The 19,817-nt window shown below is 37.4% G+C and overlaps 1 protein-coding gene across 20 annotated transcripts in view, besides 1 other annotated feature; it reads left to right on the top strand.

Moving 5' to 3' along the window:
* Nucleotides 1-19,817, top strand: part of FYB2 (FYN binding protein 2) — a 108,126-nt gene that overhangs the window by 48,310 nt on the left and 39,999 nt on the right. For 14 of the 20 annotated variants that reach the window (XR_007095697.1, XR_007095698.1, XR_946570.2 and 11 more), the window contains 2 exons: nucleotides 10,667-10,776; nucleotides 13,722-13,799. Coding sequence is in view for 15 of the 20 variants with exons in the window: in XM_047448402.1 (XP_047304358.1) it covers nucleotides 10,667-10,776; nucleotides 13,722-13,799 (188 nt within the window). In the remaining 5 variants the exon portion in view is untranslated. Of the gene's footprint in view, nucleotides 1-5,075; nucleotides 5,182-10,666; nucleotides 10,777-13,721; nucleotides 13,800-16,690; nucleotides 16,754-19,817 lie in introns of those variants that run through there. The other 6 variants (XM_047448403.1, XM_005270584.4, XM_047448400.1 and 3 more) reach the window with 3 other exon arrangements.
* Nucleotides 13,440-13,994: an enhancer, noted in NCBI's record as "NANOG hESC enhancer chr1:57230284-57230838 (GRCh37/hg19 assembly coordinates)". NCBI's record gives its function as "activates a minimal SCP1, AML or CMV promoter by ChIP-STARR-seq in naive H9 embryonic stem cells {active_cell/tissue: H9 hESC(naive)}" and the evidence as "EXISTENCE:reporter gene assay evidence [ECO:0000049][PMID:30033119]".

Raw genomic sequence — 19,817 nt, 5'->3', positions numbered from 1 at the left:
AGGACATTGACTGCTATTTATTTTTATATTCTAGAACAGTACCTGACAGAGAGGGGGAGCTCAATGACAAAAATTAATGATGTGACATCATCTACCTGTCAAAGAGTTCCCAGTGTTTTTGTATGAGCATCAGAAAAGGATAAAAACAAAAAACCAGTTGCTAACTGGGAGCCTACAATGTGCCAGACACTGGATGAGGCAATGGGTACTGAGCAGCAAGTGATATTCAAGATCCCAGAGCAAGAGAGAGAAAATTAAACTAGTTACAAAGAGTAATAAAGTAATTTCAAGACTATAACAGTGACTGAGAAGGGTATACAACAAGTATTGTGGTGTACAGAAATAGGTGGGAAGGAGGGCTGTTTGGGAAAGTTGGCTGAAGAAGGGCCTTGCCAAAGGGGACAGAGGTGAGACCTGGTGGTTGAGAAAGAGTTGGTCATACAGAAACCATTCTACATAGCAGGAGCAGCCTTTGCCAAGTCTTCGAGGTAGTAGAGAGCACTGCATCCTTGTAAAGTAGACAGGAGGCCAGTGTGATTGGAGAGTGATGAGTGAGGAAGAGAATGGTAGTACAGGACCTTGGAGACATGGGAAGGGATGAGATCATAAAGGTGGAGAGCTTAGTGGTTCTTTTTTTAAAAAAATTATTAAAAACCATAGGATGCCTCTGGAAAGTCTTAAGCAGGATTGTGACAAGGTCTGAATTATATTTTGAGAAGATCATCTTGGCTGCTGTGTGGAGAATAGACTATAGAAGGGCCATGGATAATGACAATCAGAATTTTAGGAGAAAAAATATGAGTTTGCACAGAGGATGTTGGTGATAAGGTCATTATAAGCAGATGAAACGTGGACAGAAGCGAAGAGGCAGGAAACAGCCTCATGTGTTCAAGAACTATGGGTAATTTGACATGATTAGAGTGTGTAGTGGTAAGGTGTATATGGGGAAGGGGGCATACAGCATTTAATAGTTGTTCAATAAATGTTGGCTGAAGAATAGAATGGACTTAGACAGCACTCGGCTTAAGACTCAAGTATATCCAGTCTATTTTTGTGATTTTCTGTTTCCCTGGGTGTATCTCATTTCCCTGACTAAATTATAAATTCTTCAAAAGCAGAGAGATGGTCTAATATTTCTTTCTTACCAGCTGCATAATTAAAGTGTGTTTAAATTGAATGAATTAAAAATTAGAAGATCCAGGGAGTATGTTACATGAAGTTAAGGGCATTGATTTAGGAGTCAGATAACCTTGGATTCATAGTTTGAGCTCCACACACTAGCTGTGTGATCCTGGGAAAGTTATTTGATATCTCTGGGCCTTCTATTTTCTTTTTTTTTTTTTTTTTTTTTTTTTTTTTTTTTTTGTTTTTGAGACGGAGTCTCGCTCTGTCGCCCAGGCTGGAGTGCAGTGGCGGGATCTCGGCTCACTGCAAGCTCCGCCTCCCGGGTTCCCGCCATTCTCCTGCCTCAGCCTCCCAAGTAGCTGGGACCACAGGCGCCCGCCACTACGCCCGGCTAATTTTTTGTATTTTTTAGTAGAGACGGGGTTTCACCGTTTTAGCCGGGATGGTCTCGATCTCCTGACCTCGTGATCCGCCCGCCTCGGCCTCCCAAAGTGCTGGGATTACAGGCGTGAGCCACCGCGCCCGGCCTGGGCCTTCTATTTTCTAATATAGGAAATAGTGAAATCAAATCCTTCCCCCAGGGATGTTGTGAGGATTGAGATAAATATCTCTAATTCAGCAAAGTGGAATTCCGATGTTGTAAGCTCTTAATAAATGGCAGAGATTTGTTGTTTGTTTGTAATAGCAGTGTTTGTCTGTATCAAGGTCGAATGCTGTAGGTGGCAGAACAGGCAGTCAGGAGACCAGGCTCCTATTTAAAAGCCTACCACTAGTTCAGAGGGTGACCTCACTTCCCTCTCCGTAAAATAAATGGGGTCAGATGTTAGTGCACCTCAAAGAAGACACTCTGAAATTTGAAACAAAGATATTTTAAAATTTGACTAGTGATCAAAATGAGGGCTCGTGGTCATTTTGTTTCATGCTGTTGAAGTTTTGACTGGTTTATTAGGAATCTGCTTTATCAGATCTTGTTCCTAGATGAATGGGAAAAAAAAGAGTCTGCTTTAGTTGTTGTGTGACTTCCTAAAACACTTAGAAGACAAAGTGCTTTTAGAAAGTCATTCCCAAATTCACCCTGATCCACTGGTTCCACCTTAACCTCAAATTATAGGTTAAATGGTAATATTTTTCATTTTATAGGTGATAATGTCAGGCAAAGACAAGAAAAAGAACTTCCCCATAACATTTTCCCCATATAAATAACTAATATATAAAAGAATTGATCTGTGAACTCTTGGGTCAGCCTAACAAAGGTTGGAAAAATATTGTCCAAAGCCCACTCACAGGCTCCTTGACCTTCACCATCGTCTGGTGCTTCATTATTTTCATTTTTCAGTTTTCCCTCAGTTCTAGAGTGACTTGTAGTGCAGAGGAGAGAACCAATGGACTAGGAATCAGAAGGTGTGGTTTCCAGACCCACCTCTGCTACTTAGCAGTGCTATCTTGGGCAAGTTACTGAATATCTCCAAGCCTCAGTTTCCTCAACTGTAGAATGCCTCATACTGCTACTGAGAGGATTATGTGAGATAATGCATATAAAATTAACATGAATATAGTTTGTTTGAAGAGTGAATAATAGCATGTAACTTAATGAATGAGAAATCTGAGAGCTTCTCTTTTATACCACTAGCAGACATACTTTTCTCTCATTATGTCTCTAGCTAATAGTCTGGTCAGTCCTTTGGAATCCTCCTTGCTGTATACTCTGATGACCTCTTTCTTTGATGACTTCCATTACGGTGTGATCTATTCATGCCATGTTTGACTTCAACCAGTACATCCCCTGTGTAAGATGGTATATAGCATAATGGTTAAGACTTCAGATTCAAATATCTGGATTCAAATATCTGGCTTCTTATCTCTGCTGCTAACTACTCTGTGAGCTTGCATCATGCTTCAGTTTCTTCATCTGATTGTGGAAAGAATAATAGTATCTATTTCATAGAGCCAAAGATTGATACATGTAATTGAAACAGTGCTTGGCAGGTAACAATTATCAGCTGTTATTATGATTTACATGCCTTCCCATGCCTGCCTTATGAATGAGATCAATGGTTTGACAATGTAGCTTCAGAGTTAAGTTAAAGCCAGAGTGGACGGCATATTTTGTAAGGTTATGTGGCACTTTAATAACATTTACTTGGTGATCATGGTTTTGTGGTCCTTTGTAGAAATAACTGGGTTACATATACATGAATAGAAAAAAGAAATACCTAGTGCCCAGGGCTGAGAGAAGCTCTATTTGTTGTATGTTGTTGTAGTAGAAGTCATAGTAGAATTGGTAAGTGGATTAGTCAGGGTTCTCTAGAAGGACAGGACTAATAGGGTAGATGTATATATAAACGAGAGATTATTAAGGAGTATTGACTCACATGATCACAAGGTGAAGTCCCACAATAGGCCATCTGCAAGCTGAGGAGCAAGGAAGCCAGTCCAAATTCCAAAATCTCAAAAGTATCCCTACTTTTTGAAGGCTGACAGTGCAGCCTTCAGTCTGTGGCTGAAGGCCTGAGAGCCCTGGCAAACCACTGGTTTAAGTCCAAGAGTCCAAAAGCTGAAGAACTTGGAGTCCAATGTTTGAGGGCAGGAAGCATCCAGCATGGGAGAAAGATAGAGGCCAGAAGACTCAGGCAGTCTATTATTTTATTCTAGTTGCACTAGCAGCTGATTAGATTGTGCCCACACAGATTAAGGGTGGGTCTTCCTCTCCCAGTCCATTGACTCAAATGTTAATCCCCTTTGGTAATACCCTCACAGACACACCCTGGCACAATACTTTGCATCCTTCAATCCAATCAAGTCGACACTCAATATTAACCATCACAGTAAGGTTATGGTACATGTGGTGGTAGGATTGTGTGTATGCGTGTATACATGTACGTATATTTATGTAAAAACATATATACACAAATGAAAATATATATTACATAAAAAGATGTATATGTATGCACACATATGTGTGTGTTCTGTAAAATGGTAGAAGCAGGAGAACTAGTGGTGAAGGTGGTGGTAGAATTCGAAAGGACAAGTAGTAGAATTGTAAAAGGGAAAATAGTACAAAAGTGAAAGTGGAAGTAGTACTAGTGGAAGCAGAAGTAGCAAACGCTTTATGCCAAGCACTACGCTAAGCATGGCATAAATTATATCATTTCATTCTCATATAAAGAGGATTAAAGGGTGAAGAGACTTAGGTCGAACCACCCACCCAAGGTCACAGACTGGTAGAGGTGAGATTCACTGCCACCTCTGTCTTTCTGAAGCCTATGTTTCTCTGAATCATTCTGCTCTACTGATTCATTGATTGTTCATCTCTAACCATTATCTAATATGTATACGAAACAAGTTTTAGTAGCTTATGAAAAAAAATCACTCCAAATTCATCATATATTTTTTTGAACCTGGCACAAATGAATTTTGAGATCCATTTTATTTAGTATGGATGTCACTTTTAAAAGTTTAATCACCAATCATTTCATTCAAGGGAAGGATTTCTTAGGGTGAAGGGCTATGAGTAGGGTATTCTTAATTTGTTTACTGGAAATAGAAATTTGTCCAGTTTGGGACTTTGGACAATTGAGAAATCAGATGGTGTCACATTCCCTTGTCACCAGGAACCTGTAGAATGTTACACAGAGCAAATGCTGACTAAGCTACTCCTGTTCATCCTGTCTCCAAAATGCATGGCCCATTGAAATATTAAGTGGAAGAAACTGTGTTTTCAACCTAACAAAATAAATATACAAGTATGGCTAACAGGTTTTGTTGTTCAAGTCTCAATCTTTCTACTTAATGAAAGCTCTTCTTTAGATCTTCTAGAACTTTCTTCCAATGAAACTTTTTGAGTCATCATCATGCAGTGTGGCACAGGAGTCTTCTCCTGTGAAAGGAAACTCGCCTGTCAGGCATTTTCCACATTGTGATTCAGTTATTCCCACACTAAACCCTCACAGTGACTCTATGAGGAAATGAAGGCTCTGAGAACCTAAATGACTGCTCAAGACCACACAGCCAATGAGAGGTGCATATAATGAATCTATGCACGGTGTCTAACACATGGTAAGCCCTCAAGAAATGGTAGCTATTAATGTGATTAATAATCTCACTGTTTGACCAAGTGGACAGATGTTTGAATGAGGTGCATGAGCAACTTCTCTAGAGCGTACAGCCTAATACAGAGGTTAACTAATTATTCTCCAAAGGACAATGAGGGATTCTGCGGGGACCTTTCAGGGCTGTGGACCAGAGGTAGACATGGCAAATGGAAACAACCATGAGAGGTCACTTGTCCATGCTTTAGCTAGAGAGATCCCATTTGTTTAAACATTTATTTTTGAAGATAGGATTTCCAGGAGTCCAAACAAAATTAGAAATTTTCTGGTTTTGTAAATCATCTTTAACACTTATATTGCATTTAAGGAGCTGTGTTTGCTTCTTGAACATAGATAATGTCGAAAATATCACTAAGAAACATTAACGTTTTATAATGTAGTGTATAAATAACTGGAGGTTTTCTGTAAGGAAGTAAGAAAAGTTAGAAACCTGATGCTATGCCACTAATAAAAAATTTTACAAGATGTAAACCTCAAAACTTATTTTAAAATACAATATTTCTGTCCTCTAATACACTAATATTACCAGCACACTTTTGTGGAATGCCTATGTGCAGAGGGCAAATATTTCATTCAATATCCATAATACGCCTTTAAAGTAGATTTTATTATAACTGTTTTATAGAGCAGGAAATGGAGGCTTAAGGTATTTACCCAGTTCTTTATAACTAGAATGTAGAAGAGAGCTAGGATTCAAATTCAAATCTGTCTGACCCCATGTTCCAGGTCTGTCTCATATTCTGTGCTGCCTCCCAGTAGTGTCTATAGTCCTGTAGACACATTTTTCATAAATGTGGAAATAAAGAAGTTGAAGCATAGATTTAAATCATAGAGTTATTTCGTCCCTCCAATCCAAGTTCTGTATATTGATCCACATTGTATGAAATCAAGGTGGATCTCAGATCTAGTTTTAATGGACCAGGGATAAAGGTAAAAGACATTCTCAGGTAACAAAAAAGGAGGTTAAAATACATCTGCAACCTTCTTTTTTCCTCTTAACAATAATCCCAGCACTGATTCTCTGCAAAGACAATTGATCCTAAAGATGCCTTTTTGGAAACTTTGGTAAAATTTTCTTTATAATTATCTGAAATGAGATATTTATTCATTTTTGACCAAAGTGGTCTAAGAAATTGATTAGACATCTTTCAATTTTTCCCCAAATTGTTTCTTATTAATAAAATTAATTTACCATAGACCAAATGAGATTGTTAGGCCATTGAAGCATGAGCTCTATGGCATAGCCTATAATTTAAGAAAGTTTCTCTTGATTACTTTATGAAGGGGGAGGGGAACAAAAATATGAGAGAAGTTACTGATGCATTGGAGTTTATAATTTTTCTTTTTCAGCAAAATGAACTATTACATCTTTAGAATTATTACAGAGAATATACACAAAAGAAAACTAGAAAATATGCAAAATATTTTCTAGAAAATATGCAACTATGCAAAAAAAACTAGAAAATATGCAAAATAGTCAACGGAGAGAAAACAATTGGGTGGAATGTGCTTATGATTATAATAAATGAGGGGAAAAAAGAGAACTCCAACTTTTTCACTGTCTAACAACTATGTGAATACACATATAAATGAAAAATCAGGAAGACTACCAAATGCTAAGACCTCGTTTGTATTAACGTTCAGAGGTTATGTGTAATTTTTTCTCTTTGATACTATCCACATGTGCTGTGATGTAGTTGTGATGCAGCTGAAGTCGCTTCAACTCTAACCTCACCTTTAACCCTAACCCTAACCCTAACTCTAGTCCCCTTCAACTGCATCTATAGCAAATGGAACTACCTCATACCAAATGCGGACAGTACAGAGGGGAAAAGATTATGAATTTACTCCATAATTCCATTTCCCTTTCTCCCTTTGCAGAGGCAACTCCAATCATGAATTTGTGAGTGTATCCATTTAGTATGTTCTTACGTTTGAGCTATAAACTCATGTATCTGTTAAGGATATAGTTTTTAAATTTTTGTATAAATGACACCTTATGTTATCCTTCTGCAACTTTTTTTTACGAAGCTGTGTTTTCATATTCTATCTATGTTGATGTATATGTCATTTGTTCATCATAATTGCTGTATTGTATTTCCTCATATGAACACATCCCAATTTGTTTATGCATTTTCTCGCTAAGGAACATGCAGATTGTTGTAAATTTTTACCATTTCAAATAATGCTTCAGTAATCATTCTCCTATATTTGTAGGTAAATATAAGCAAGTTTCTCAAAGCTATTTACTTAGAAGTAGAATTGCTAAACAATACTAACTAATCAACTTCAGTGTTACTAGATATTGAAAAATTATTCTCCAAAATGGTTGTGACAATTCATACTCTCAAAGCAGTGTAAAGATTTCCTATTTCTCCATATTCTTGCCAAATAAGGTATTATTTTCAAACTGAGATTCTAGCTAATCTGATGAATGTGAACTAAATTTTCGTTATCTTGATTTCCATTTCCCTGTTCACTATGAGGTTAGGAGTTTACCTTTATAAGCTATTCAATTTGACTCTTCAGTGATGACTGGAATATACTTTCGTCCAATTTTCTATGGGTTTGTCTTTTTCTTATTGCCAAAGTTCCTGATAGAGTCTAAATATTATTTGTTACACTTTACTATTAAGTATGTTATTTGTTGGAGGGTAATCTAGTGAAGAGCGTTTATCTCCCTGGAATGCTTTTTTGCATATTAAAATAACCTTTTTCACTTTTATTGAAACAATGTGATTAATTACAATAATAGATTTTCTGATGTTAAGCCATCCTTGAGGTCTCGGAATAAATTTCAGTTATTCTTGAGTTATTTTTAAAACTGATTAATTCATTTTTCAGCATTTAGTGAATTTGGGCTAAAATCTCTGAAGTGAGATTGGAGTAAATTTTCTCTTATTCTTTGATCATTTTGTAGTCTTCATTTCAAAATTGTATTATCTTCTTAAAACGAGTAGCGTAGCTTTTCCTCTTTTTCTATCCTCTAAAACAGCTCATTAAAACTTGTCTATAAAACTATTTGGTAGAGAGCAAGAAGAGAGGCGAGTTAGGGTGGAGGTAGGTACAGGGAAGAGTGGAGGTGTGTACTACTGATAAAAGTTCTTTAATGATTTATTGGCCTATTAGTTTTTGTGTTTCTTTCTCAGTCGGTATGGTAATTTTCTACTTCCCCATAAAGTTGCCAATTTTCTCTAAATTTTTAAAGTTACTGGTAGAGAGCTGATCATAACACTTTCTTAGATTTCTGAAAGCCTAAAACTATCTCTAGTTTTGTTTCCTTTCTTATCTCTAATTTGTGTCGGTGTATACGCATTCGTGTGTACCCTTTCTCATTTTCTTCATCAGTCACACTGAAGTTGGTCTAATATTAATATACCTGCTTCAGTTTTCTTTGGTACTATTTGATTTGTATGTCTTTTCCATCCATTTACCTTGGATCTTTGGCTTGTCTGCTGCTTTTAAAAAATATATCAATTCAGATACTCTTTATTTTATTGGAATAGCTTAATCTATGTACATTTATTACAATCCTTGACCTATTTGGAATTTTCCCAATTAAGATTTACTATGCAATTTCTATAATTGCATTTTTTTCTTTCCTCCTTTTTAAAAAATATTTAAGCTTTCTCATTGCATTTTTCCCTTCTGCCAGTTTAGAAGTTAAATATTCTATTTCTATTTTTTTAGTAGTTACAATTAAATTTTGACATCTATAATTTACAAAGTCTAATGTTAATCAAAATCTCCATCCTGCTCGTAAATAATGCAAAGACTTGAGAATAATTTTCATAGCCCTCTTCCACTACTTTCCATATTATTATTATGGAAAATAATAGTATAGCTATTATAATTTGAATATTGACTCCTTTACATCATTCTCTTTCTTCTTTCTTTTTATAATCCTTAATATATGTATGTTGGACTTTCTCATTCTATCCTCCCTATCTCTTCTTTTTAAATATTTTCTATCTCTTTATCTCTCTATGCTACATTCTGGGTAACGTCCTCATATCTAAATAATTCACCAATTCTAGGCCAGTGGCTCATGACTGTAATCTTAGTACTTTTGGGAGGCCAAGGCAGGTGGATCACTTGAGCCTAGGAGTTCGAGACCAGCCTGGGCAATATGGCGAGGCTTCCTTTCTACAAACACACAGAAAAATTATCTGGGTGTGGTGGCACACAACTGTAGTCCCAGCTATTCAGGAGGCTGAGGTGTGTGGATTGCTTGAGCCTGGGAGGTTGAGGCTGCAGTGAGCTGAGATTGCGCCACTGTACTCCAGCCTGGGTGACAGGATGAGAACCTGTCTCAAAAAATATATAATAATAATACTAATGATAATAATTCACCAATTCCTTCTACTGCTGCATCTAGTCTACTTTTCAGCCTCTACATTAAATTTTTTATCTTAAGAACTATATTTTATGATCTCTATAACTCCTTTCTCCAAATCTATAGGGCATTCTTTTCCCTCAGTCTCTTGTTTTTACCTAATGGCTTTTATTCTTCACTTTATTTCTTGGAATACTAAAAACACATGTATTTTAAATTAACGTTCATGTTATTCTATTATTTAGGTCCCCCATTAGTTATGCCTTCTGACTATCTTACTGCAGCTCATCTCCTTGTGTGATTTTCAGTTTTCACTATCAGCTTATTTTGAGTGGGAATTTGTTTTCTTTGGAAACTACAGGTGCCGTGGATTGTGGAAGCATCTTTACAGAATAATTTCAGATTTGCCTTTAGAAGAGGGATTTGAATTTCAATCATCAATTTTGGCTTTGTGTCTCTGAAATGAGCAGATTGTTTATTAAACCCCACCTCTGTATTTGGTGCTGGGTTTTCAAGTTTCTGATTTCTCATTGGTGACTCTTTCAGTTCCTATGGCCATAGTCAGATAGCAAACTTCCAAGCTCATTCCCTGGGAGAGTGGACGGATACGTTTAGTACTCGTTTTACAGATGGAACAGCATATTGTAACTCTGGACTTGATGCTGATAGCTCCATTTCAGTTTCCTATTCAGATGAGGCTTATGGTTCAGACTTACCTTCTGACTCAGACATTAAATCCCCAGCTGCCCAGTCATTAAGATTTCTCTTTATCTGGTCTCAATTTCCCTTTGTGTTCCTTGACTGCAGTTCTCACTTGCATCTTTAATTGTGAATTTCCTCTGTATGTCTGGCACCTGGGGATTTTGCTTTATTGATTTCTGTGTGGACTGTATAATCTTTACACAAGTCTTTGCATTGCCATCTTTCATCTAGAATTCTTATGCATTTGGAGTAGGGGTAGTGTGCCTCCCATATATGCTTAGGTCACCATATTGGCCAGACACACATATTATTTCTCTAATGAGGAAAAAATACAAAAAGCTTTCAAAATATGTTTTTAAAAATGTTACATTTTAAGTAACCCTTTTTTCTCCAGGCTTTTCAATGCAGAATTTGAAGAACCACATAATTACGAGGCAACAATTTCATATCTGAGACACTCTGGCAACTCCATTAACCTGTGCACTGCAAAAGAAATTGCTGATCGTAAGTCTGCTAAGCCAATTAATAGTGTAACCCTGTGTGGAATGAAAATGTGTCAAAAATGATATTTTCCCTTTAGCTAACTGTAAGTTTAAAAATGCACAGCCATCCTGCACAACCATCTTATTTCTTTTTCTTTTTTTTTTCTGTGTCTGGTCTCTTAAAAATATAAATAAATCCAGCTGGGCATCAGTGCTATCTCACAATAGCTATTGCTGCCTTCCCAGCCTCTTCTTTTCTCCCCTTTACCAATCGACTCAGCTGCTTTGCCTTTTGTAGATATGAGGGAGGGAAAATCAAGATATGATGATTCATTTTTCTTCCTTCTCTTCCTATAGAAACTTCATCTCTTTTCTCCTGGTGTCTTTCTTGAAGTTCCCTGGTTACTTGGTGTGTGGAGAGTGAGATAACAGACCATGAGAATTAGGCCCCTGTGTTCAGTCTGAATAGGAGCAGGGGATTTATTTAATGGATCTGACCACTGGCTCAGAGCTAAGTCTTCCTGCCTCTGGCATTGCTGACAATGCTCGGGACATTTTTGTGAGTAAAGAGACCTTCTCATGTAAAAAGATGAGGGAGCAGAGATTATTGCATTTCTACAAGGTACAATGTCCTTGTTCTGCCTATAGTATCAGCCAGTTCTCTATAAAAGGCACACATTTTAGTGCTGGAATAAACACTAGTATTTAGTGAGCTTGTACTATAGGATACTGTAGTTCTGTGTTAGGTTCCCCATGTACAGCCCTGCTGATAGAGTGGTTTGATCACCCCTAATGTTTGATACAGGAAACTGAACATCAGAAAGATTGAGTTGCACGAGGCCATAAATATAACATGGAATAGAGTTATAATGTGAAACAGGCTCAGGCTACCTCTAAATTCTATGCTTTTTCCACAAGTTTATGCTACTTCTTATTCAAGGAAGTTTGGCTTCCCTGAAAGCAGGGCTAAAAACTTCTTCATTGTATAGACAAGAACCTCAAGGTTCTGGGAAAGGAAGTCATTTTCCTGGGAATACATACTTAGGAAGTTCATGAGGTAAGGATCAGGACCTACTGAAATTTCCCTCTTCTCCCTCAAGAAATAAGGAGTTGGGACCGGGCGCAGTGGCTCACGCCTGTAATCCCAGCATTTTGGGAGGCCGAGATGGGCGGATCACGATATCAGGAGATCGAGACCATCCTGGCTAACACGGTGAAACCCCGTCTCTACTAAAAATACAAAAAATTTAGCCAGGTGTGGTGGTGGTGGGAGACTGTGGTCCCAGCTACTCGGGAGGCTGAGGCAGGAGAATGGCTTGAACCTGGGAGGCGGAGCTTGCAATGAGCCGAGATCGCGCCACTGCACTCCAGCCTAGGCGACAGAGCGAGACTCCGTCTCAAAAAAAAAAGAAAAAAAAAGAAATAAGGGGTTGGAGAACTATTAGAAAAACTGCCTCTCTTTTAGACTGGGCAGTCTAGATTCTCCTAAATGGTTTGTAAAATACTAGCCATAGGAAGAGCAACTCTTGACCCTGCCCAGCACCCCCAAAATGCAGTGCTGCCCCATACTCAGAGTATATGGACCCCTTCTTTAGAGCAGGGCTTCTCAATTTCTAGCGTTCATACAAGTCATGCAGGGATCTTGTTAAAATGTAGATTCTGGTTCAGCAGCTCCGGTATGGAGTCTGAGATTGTGCATTTCTAACAAGTTCCTTGGTGATATCAATGCTGCTGGTCTACAGACCACACTTTGAAAGAAAGGCAGTGGGCACCATTTGGGCCACGTTCCAACTATATGTCCTTCTACAAGGCTAAGAATTCACAGAGCCAAATGGATGCTCCAATCAGAGCCTGCTCCTTCTCTCTCTGGACCACGTGATGCCCCTAGAATCCACCCCCCTGCAAGTAGCTCATTTCAAGTGAAGTGGACCTCTGTTTCTGGGAAGATGGAACAGATGTACTTTTGTCCTATTGCTCCTGCTAAGTACAGCTAAAAGCCCCAGGCATTATGTATGTAAAACAAACATAAGAAGACTAGATGACTCTGAAAGGTAGAGAGAAGAAGGTAGACCAGCTAGGGACATCAGGCCCCAAGGAAGGATAAGGTGGTGAGTTCCCTGGTTTTCTTCTTGCCTCGAATATGTCAGTTTTGGAGGTAAAAAAGTTAGCAACTCAGAAACACCAGTGGGCACAACAACAGCTTCAGCTGAAGCCTGCTCTTTCTAGCCAAACGACCAGGAAAAGGGCAACCTAGAAAGACAGAAAACCTCTAGACAATAACTAGTCTACTCCAGCCAAACATCATAGAAAAAAATGTGGCCCACCACCAACAGCAATGCTGAATGGGGAGCTTGGACATCTACCCTCAGCAGGCTGCAATGATGCACCCAACTCCTCCACTGGAGTGATGTCAGAGAAGGTCAAGTAGGGAGCTGGGATTTCCACCCCTGCCAGGTGGTAATAAAATTCCACTTAGTGTCCATAAAGATTATGTGAGGAACTTTGACTTTCACTCCCCTTCCAGCAGTAACAAGATGCCCTTCTCCCTACCTCAAAGGATGGTGTCAGAGGAGACCTAGTAGAAAGGATCTTCATAACCACCCAGCAGTAAGAAGGCCACCCTCTCCTTGTAGTGTCAGCAAAGGCCATATGGGAAGTAATAACAGGGCACTCCTACTCTTTCCAGCTAAGATGTTATCAGCAGAAGCCTACTGGAGAGCCAAACTCCTTCCTACTTCTGCCCAGCAGTGATGAGGTGCTGTTTTCTCACTTGGGTATTGTTATGAACTGATTGCTTGTTACCTCTAAAATGCTGAAAACCTACCCCCAATGCGATGGTATTTAGGAGGTGAGATCTTTAGGAGGTAGTTAGTATTACATGAGGTCATGAGGGTGGAGCCCTCTCAAATGGGATTAGTGTCTTTACAAGCATCCCAATAAAGATTGCTTTCTTCTTCTCCATATGAGGGCACAGTGAGAAGACAGCTGTCTATGAACCAGGAATCTGTTGTCACTTTGATCTTGGAACTTCCAGCCTCCAGAACTGTGAGGAATAAATTTCTGTTATTTATTAGCCATGCAATTTATGGTATTTTGTTACGGCAGCTGAAGCTGAAAAAAAAAATATATCTGCCAAAATTGAGATGGCTGAAATACTAGAATTTTCTGACTAAGACTTTAAAGCAGCTTTTATAAAATTTTCCAATGCATAGTTATGGACATGCTTGAAATAAATGAAGAAAAGTCTTATCAAAGAAATAAAATGTCTCTATAGAGAAAGAGAAATGTAAAAAAAAAAAATGACAATGTTAGAACTAAAAAATAAAAAGGTCAGTGGATGTGCTCAACAGCAGAATGGAGGGACAAAAGAGTCAATGACTTAAAAATAAACAATAGTAACTACCAAATCTGAACAAGGAGAAAATAAACTGAAAAAAAAAATGAAAAGAGCTTCAAAAAATTGTGAGACTATAACAAAAGATTTAACATTCATGTCATTAGACTTCTGGAAAGAGAAGAGAAGGCGTGCATGACTGAAGAAGTACTTGGAGAAATAGTGACTGAAAACTCCCCCAGTTTGGCAAAAGACATAATATGGGTCAGGAGCGGTGCCTCACACCTGTAATCCCAGCACTCTGGAAGGCCGAGGCGAGTGGATCACCTAAGGTCAGGAGTTCAAGGCCAACCTGGCCAACATGGTGAAACCTCGTCTCTACTAAAAATACAAAAAAAATTAGCTGGGTGTGGCAGTGGACACCTGTAATTCTAGCTACTTGGGAGGCTGAGGCAGGAGAACCTCTTGAACCCAGGAGGCAGAGGTGGCAGTGAGCTGAGATCACACCATCGCACTCCAGCCTGGGCAATAAGAGCAAAACTCCATCTAAAAAAAAAAAAAAATAGACATAATATGACAACAGATTCAAGAAACCAAGCAAATCTAAAAGAAATGCAATCTCGCGAAGAGTCATAATCAAACTTCTTAAAGACAGAGAAAAATTCTTGAAAGCAAGTAGCAGGAAGGAAACAATAAGGATAAGATTAGAAATAAATGAAATGAAATGAAAACAAAAAACAATAGAGAAAATCAGTGGAATTAAAGATGTGTTCTTTGAAAAAAAATCAATAAAATTGACAAACTTCTAGCAAGGTTGAAAAAATTGATAAACGTCTAGCAAGGCTGAAAAAATAGATAAACTTCTAGCAAGGCTGAAAAAGAAACAGAAAAAAGATATAATATTAAGACTGAAGCAGGGATATCATTATAGACTCTGTAGATATCAAAACAATAATAAGGGAATATTATGAACAACTCTCCACATTTAAACTTAACAACTTAGATAAAAAAAGGAACAATTCCTCAAAAAGCACAAATTACCACAACTCACTCAAAATAAATAATTTGATTAGCCCTGTAACTCTCAAGAAAAACTGAATGCATAGTTTAAAAACTCCCCCAAAATGAACTCTAAGTCAGGTGATTTCCCTGAAAAATTCTATCAGGCATTTAAAGATGAATTAATACCAATTTTATACAATCTTTCCCAAAAATGGAGGAGAAAACACATTTTTTTAAAGCTAGTATTACCATGACCATGATATCAAAACTAGACAAAGGCAGTACAAAAGAAGAAAACTTCAGATCAATATCCTTAATTAGCATAGTCATAAAACTCCTCAACAAAATATTAGCAAATAGAATTCAGCAACATAGAAAATGAATTATTCTTTATGATCAAGTGTGATTTATTCTTCATTTGGTTGTGGTATATAAGGGTGCAGAGATGCAAAGCTGGTTCAATATTCAAAAATCAACAAAATCACCATATTGGCAGGATAAAGAAGAAAAATTAGACAATCTGTGCAGAAAATAATTTAACAAAATACAACCTCCATTTATGATTTAAAAAACTGTCATAAAATAGGAATAGATGGGGACTCTATTGTCTTCCTCAACTTGATTAAGAACATGTACAGCAAGCCTACAGCTAATCATGATACTTAATGGTGAAACACTGAATGCTTTTCCCCTACTACCGGTAACAAGGCAAGGATGTCTGCAGTTACCATTGCTATTCAACATAGTGCTGGACGTTCTAGCTAGTGCAATAAGGCAAGCAAAGGAAATAAAATGTATACAGATAGAAAAGGAATAAATAAAACTATCTATTCACAGTGGCATGATTATCTAGATAGAAATTCCCAAGAAATTTACCAAAAAAGCACACAAAAACCCTCCTAGAACTAATAAATGATTTCAGAAAGATTGTAGGATACAAAATAAATGTACAAAAAAATCAATTATATTTCTGTATATCAGGAATGAACATACAAATACTGAAATTGAAAAATATATCATTTATAATTGCTTAAAAATAGATATGTGTTTATATTTAAATCCTACAAAGCATGATAAGGCCTAAAAGCTTAAAGCTATAAAATTCTGATTAAATCAAAGAAAATCTAAATAAGTGGAGAGACATACCATGTTTATGGATCGGAAGACACAACACAGTAAAATTAACAGTAAAAATGTCAATTATCTCAAAATGATACACAGGTTTAATAAAATTCCTATAAAAATCCCAGTAGGATCTTCTGCAGATACAGACAAGATTATCCTAAAATGCATATAGAAAGGCAAAGGAGTTAGAATACCTAAAAACAATTTTGAAAAATAAAAGGGAGGCATTAGTATATCAGTTTTAAGAATTATCAGTATAATAATCAAGACTATCTGGTATTGGCAAAGAGAGACACGTAGAACAATGGAACAGAATTGAGAATTCAGAAATAGAATTATACAGATATGCCCAACTGTTGTTGTTATTTTTTTTAACAAAGATGTAAAGGCAGCTCAATAGAAGAAACACAGCCTTTTAAAAAATGGTGTTGGACCAATTGCCATAGGTAAACGAAAATAAACTTTGGCTTAAGTCTCACACCTTATACAAAAGTTAACTTAAAATGAATGTTTCCTCTTTGTTTTTTGTACACCAAAGGTGAGACATCTAAATGATACCTTTCAAAGAGGCAGGGAGAGAGAGACGGAAGGGAAGGAGAGAGGGAAGGAAGGAGAAAGAGGTCAAGGTGGTTGGCTTTTGCTGTTGCCTTTGGGTGACTGTCCCTTGAACAAGGCCAAGAAAACAGGGAAGACCATCCTTGTTTAGTGCTTAGCTCAGCACTGGTGCCTTTGGTGAGGTTTCATCTCTTTTATACAGAACTTGGCATTGGGCATACATGATTCAGGCTGTTCTAAAAGCTCTGCAGAATTGTCCTCAGAGGTCATATAGACTAGTGCTTTGCAGACTGTACTTCTAGGCCCCAGAGAATTTTTTGAAGAGTCTTGGAGACTCTCGCAGATACCTTCAGACTTGTGTTTACACTTCTGCATAACATTCCATTTAAATTAATAAAGCCATGGATGGAAGAAAATTTGCAAGCCGTTTCTTACCTGAGTGATCTTAGACAATTTACTTCACTTGTCTGGCTGGCTGTTTCCTCGTCAGTAAAATTGGAATATTAGTAGTGATTGTCATTGAGAATTAAATGAAATAATGCATTTAAATGCTTGGCATAGTGCCTGCTATCTATAAGTATAAAAAATGTTAGTTTCTTTTAAATTATTATTTTTATTATGTTAGTAATAAACATTTCACCTCCAGGTGTAAAAGAGGTAATGGGACTTTTCCAAGATCATACAGACAGGATGAGGAGAAGGAACAAAAGGCCTCCAAGACATGACCGTGTTGTGACACTAGCAGTTGGAGGATTGCTGAGGACCATCTTCAGATATTTGTCCTTTCTCTGCCTGCACAATAAAACTAATCAGTGGAGAGAGGGTTATATAACTCTGTGCAGAAAGTAAGCGAGGACTCTGATGCTGCAGATCACATGCTCTTGTCATAATTCCTAGTCCATTTCTGATCCTTTGGGATGTAGCCCTTTATCCTCTATATTCCTACCTTGGAATATATGTTGGAATTCCTACCTAAGTTTGGATAGCTTAGCTTGCCACGAAAGAACCTCCACTTTGTTAAAAAGCAGTAACAACATTATGAATACGTTATTAATTGAATGTGTATTATCTTTGTTTACTAGCCATGGCAAGTAAGGCTTCTCCTGGCTTTGGTTTCATCATTTCTAAGACAGAATAAGTAATAATATCCATCTCAAGGTGGTTAGGAGAAGCAAATGAGCTCATGATTTGTTTTTGAAAAGCATAGACAAGTAAATAAATTGGAGTAGAAAGGAGGAGATTATTATTTTTAAAATTGGAAAGCAAATTCATATCAGGAATGGATATTGGGCAAACTGTATCACAAACAGGTATTTTTAAAGTATTAATAAGTGTACAATTACCTAATTTAAAGTATTATGTGTACAATTACCCAAGTTGAAATACATATTATTAATTATCCATGTAGAATTTTAGGTCTGTGTCAACAATTATATGCTGACAGTCCCTAAACAAAACCTAGCATTTCATTGATTTTGTCAGTGTATTATATGTTTAGAATAATAAAAGCTTGGAAATGCAACATATTGTTCAGTCAGTTTTCTAAAGCTTCAGGACTTTAGCAGCAAGAAAGAGAAAAACAGAGGGAGGAGTCCTTTTATGCACATATGTTCATTAACAGTAGGGATAAAACTTTTATAAATAACTTTTAAGCAAAGAAAACCAACCAAGCAATTTTATCAAAAAACATTGCCATTTTCTATACAATGTCCAGTGTTCTGCTAGGTATGTTAAATTTCCTTTTTTTTTTTTTTTTGTGATGGAGTCTCACTGTGTTGCCCAGGCTGGAATACAGTAGCGCGATCTCGGCTCACTGCATCCTCTGCCTCCCTGGTTAAAGCAATTCTCCTGCCTCAGCCTCCAGAGTAGCTGGGATTATAGGCCTGCCACTGTGCCTGACTAATTTTTGTATTTTTAGTGGAGATAGTGTTTCACTCTCTTGGCCAGGCTGGTCTTGAACTCCTGACCTTGTGATCCACCTGCCTTGGCCTCCCTAAGTGCTGGGATTACAGGCATGAGCCACCACACCTGGCCAAATTTCTTAAATTATTTCCTTGAATCTCCCCATTAACTCTGTAAGGCAGGTACCAATTGGTCAATTTTTATAGATGAGCAAGCTGAGGCTCAAAGAAATGAAGTAATTTGTCTGAAACACCCTATGTAGGAGTGGCAGAACAGTGTTTGAACTCAAATTCTTGTCATTACTTGTATTTATTAATATAGTCATGTGCTACACAATGTTTCAGTTAACAATGAATTGTGTATCCAGCCGTGGTCCCATAAGATGATAATACTGTATTTTTACTGTACCTTTTCTATGTTTAGATACACAACTATCTATAACTGTGTTACAATTACCTACAGTATTCAGTACAGTAACATGCTATGCAGTTTTGTTGCCTGGGAGCAATAGGCCATACCCTATATCCTAGGAAGGTAGTAGGCTATACCGTCTAGGTTTGTATAAGTATGTTCTATGGTATTCACGTGATGATGAAATCACCTAAGGATGCATTTCTCAGAACAGATCCCCATTGTTAAGCGATGCATGACTGTAATTAAGATTGGCATCATGTCATTAAATAAAATCCACAGAACTATTGGAAAAGTCAAAAGGTGGGTCAGCCTTAGTTGGTGTGCTCGTGTTTTCAAACTGTATTTAAGGAAATAAAAATGGCTGTGGAACAGAGCACTTTGGGGCATGATAGAGAATTCATTTTGTTGAAGTGGGATTTAGGCTTTTTCCTTTTCCTTTCCTTTCACGTTTGCCTTCTGAGCTGCCACTAAATTTTAGTGCTTTCTTTTAAGCATGGAGTGTGTATCTGTTTGCCAAAACAGGAAACTGAAATGGTTTCACATGCTTCATCGACTGTAAATTCCATTCTGGAAATCCCCACAGAAATTAAAACCATGATCACTGACCCCATAATTTCCCAAACTTTCTAGATAGAGCTTTACATAGTCTGATGTTCTTAAAGGTGAGAAAACTGAATTCTGGAATCTTTTATAACTGCTTTAATCCTGGGTGCTATAAGAAATGGGTGGAT

This window comes from Homo sapiens, chromosome 1 (genome assembly GCF_000001405.40).
Source record: "Homo sapiens chromosome 1, GRCh38.p14 Primary Assembly".
NCBI lineage: Eukaryota > Metazoa > Chordata > Mammalia > Primates > Hominidae > Homo > Homo sapiens.
The sequence above is the reverse complement of the archived record's forward strand: the minus strand, read 5'-3'. Positions and strand labels throughout refer to the sequence as shown.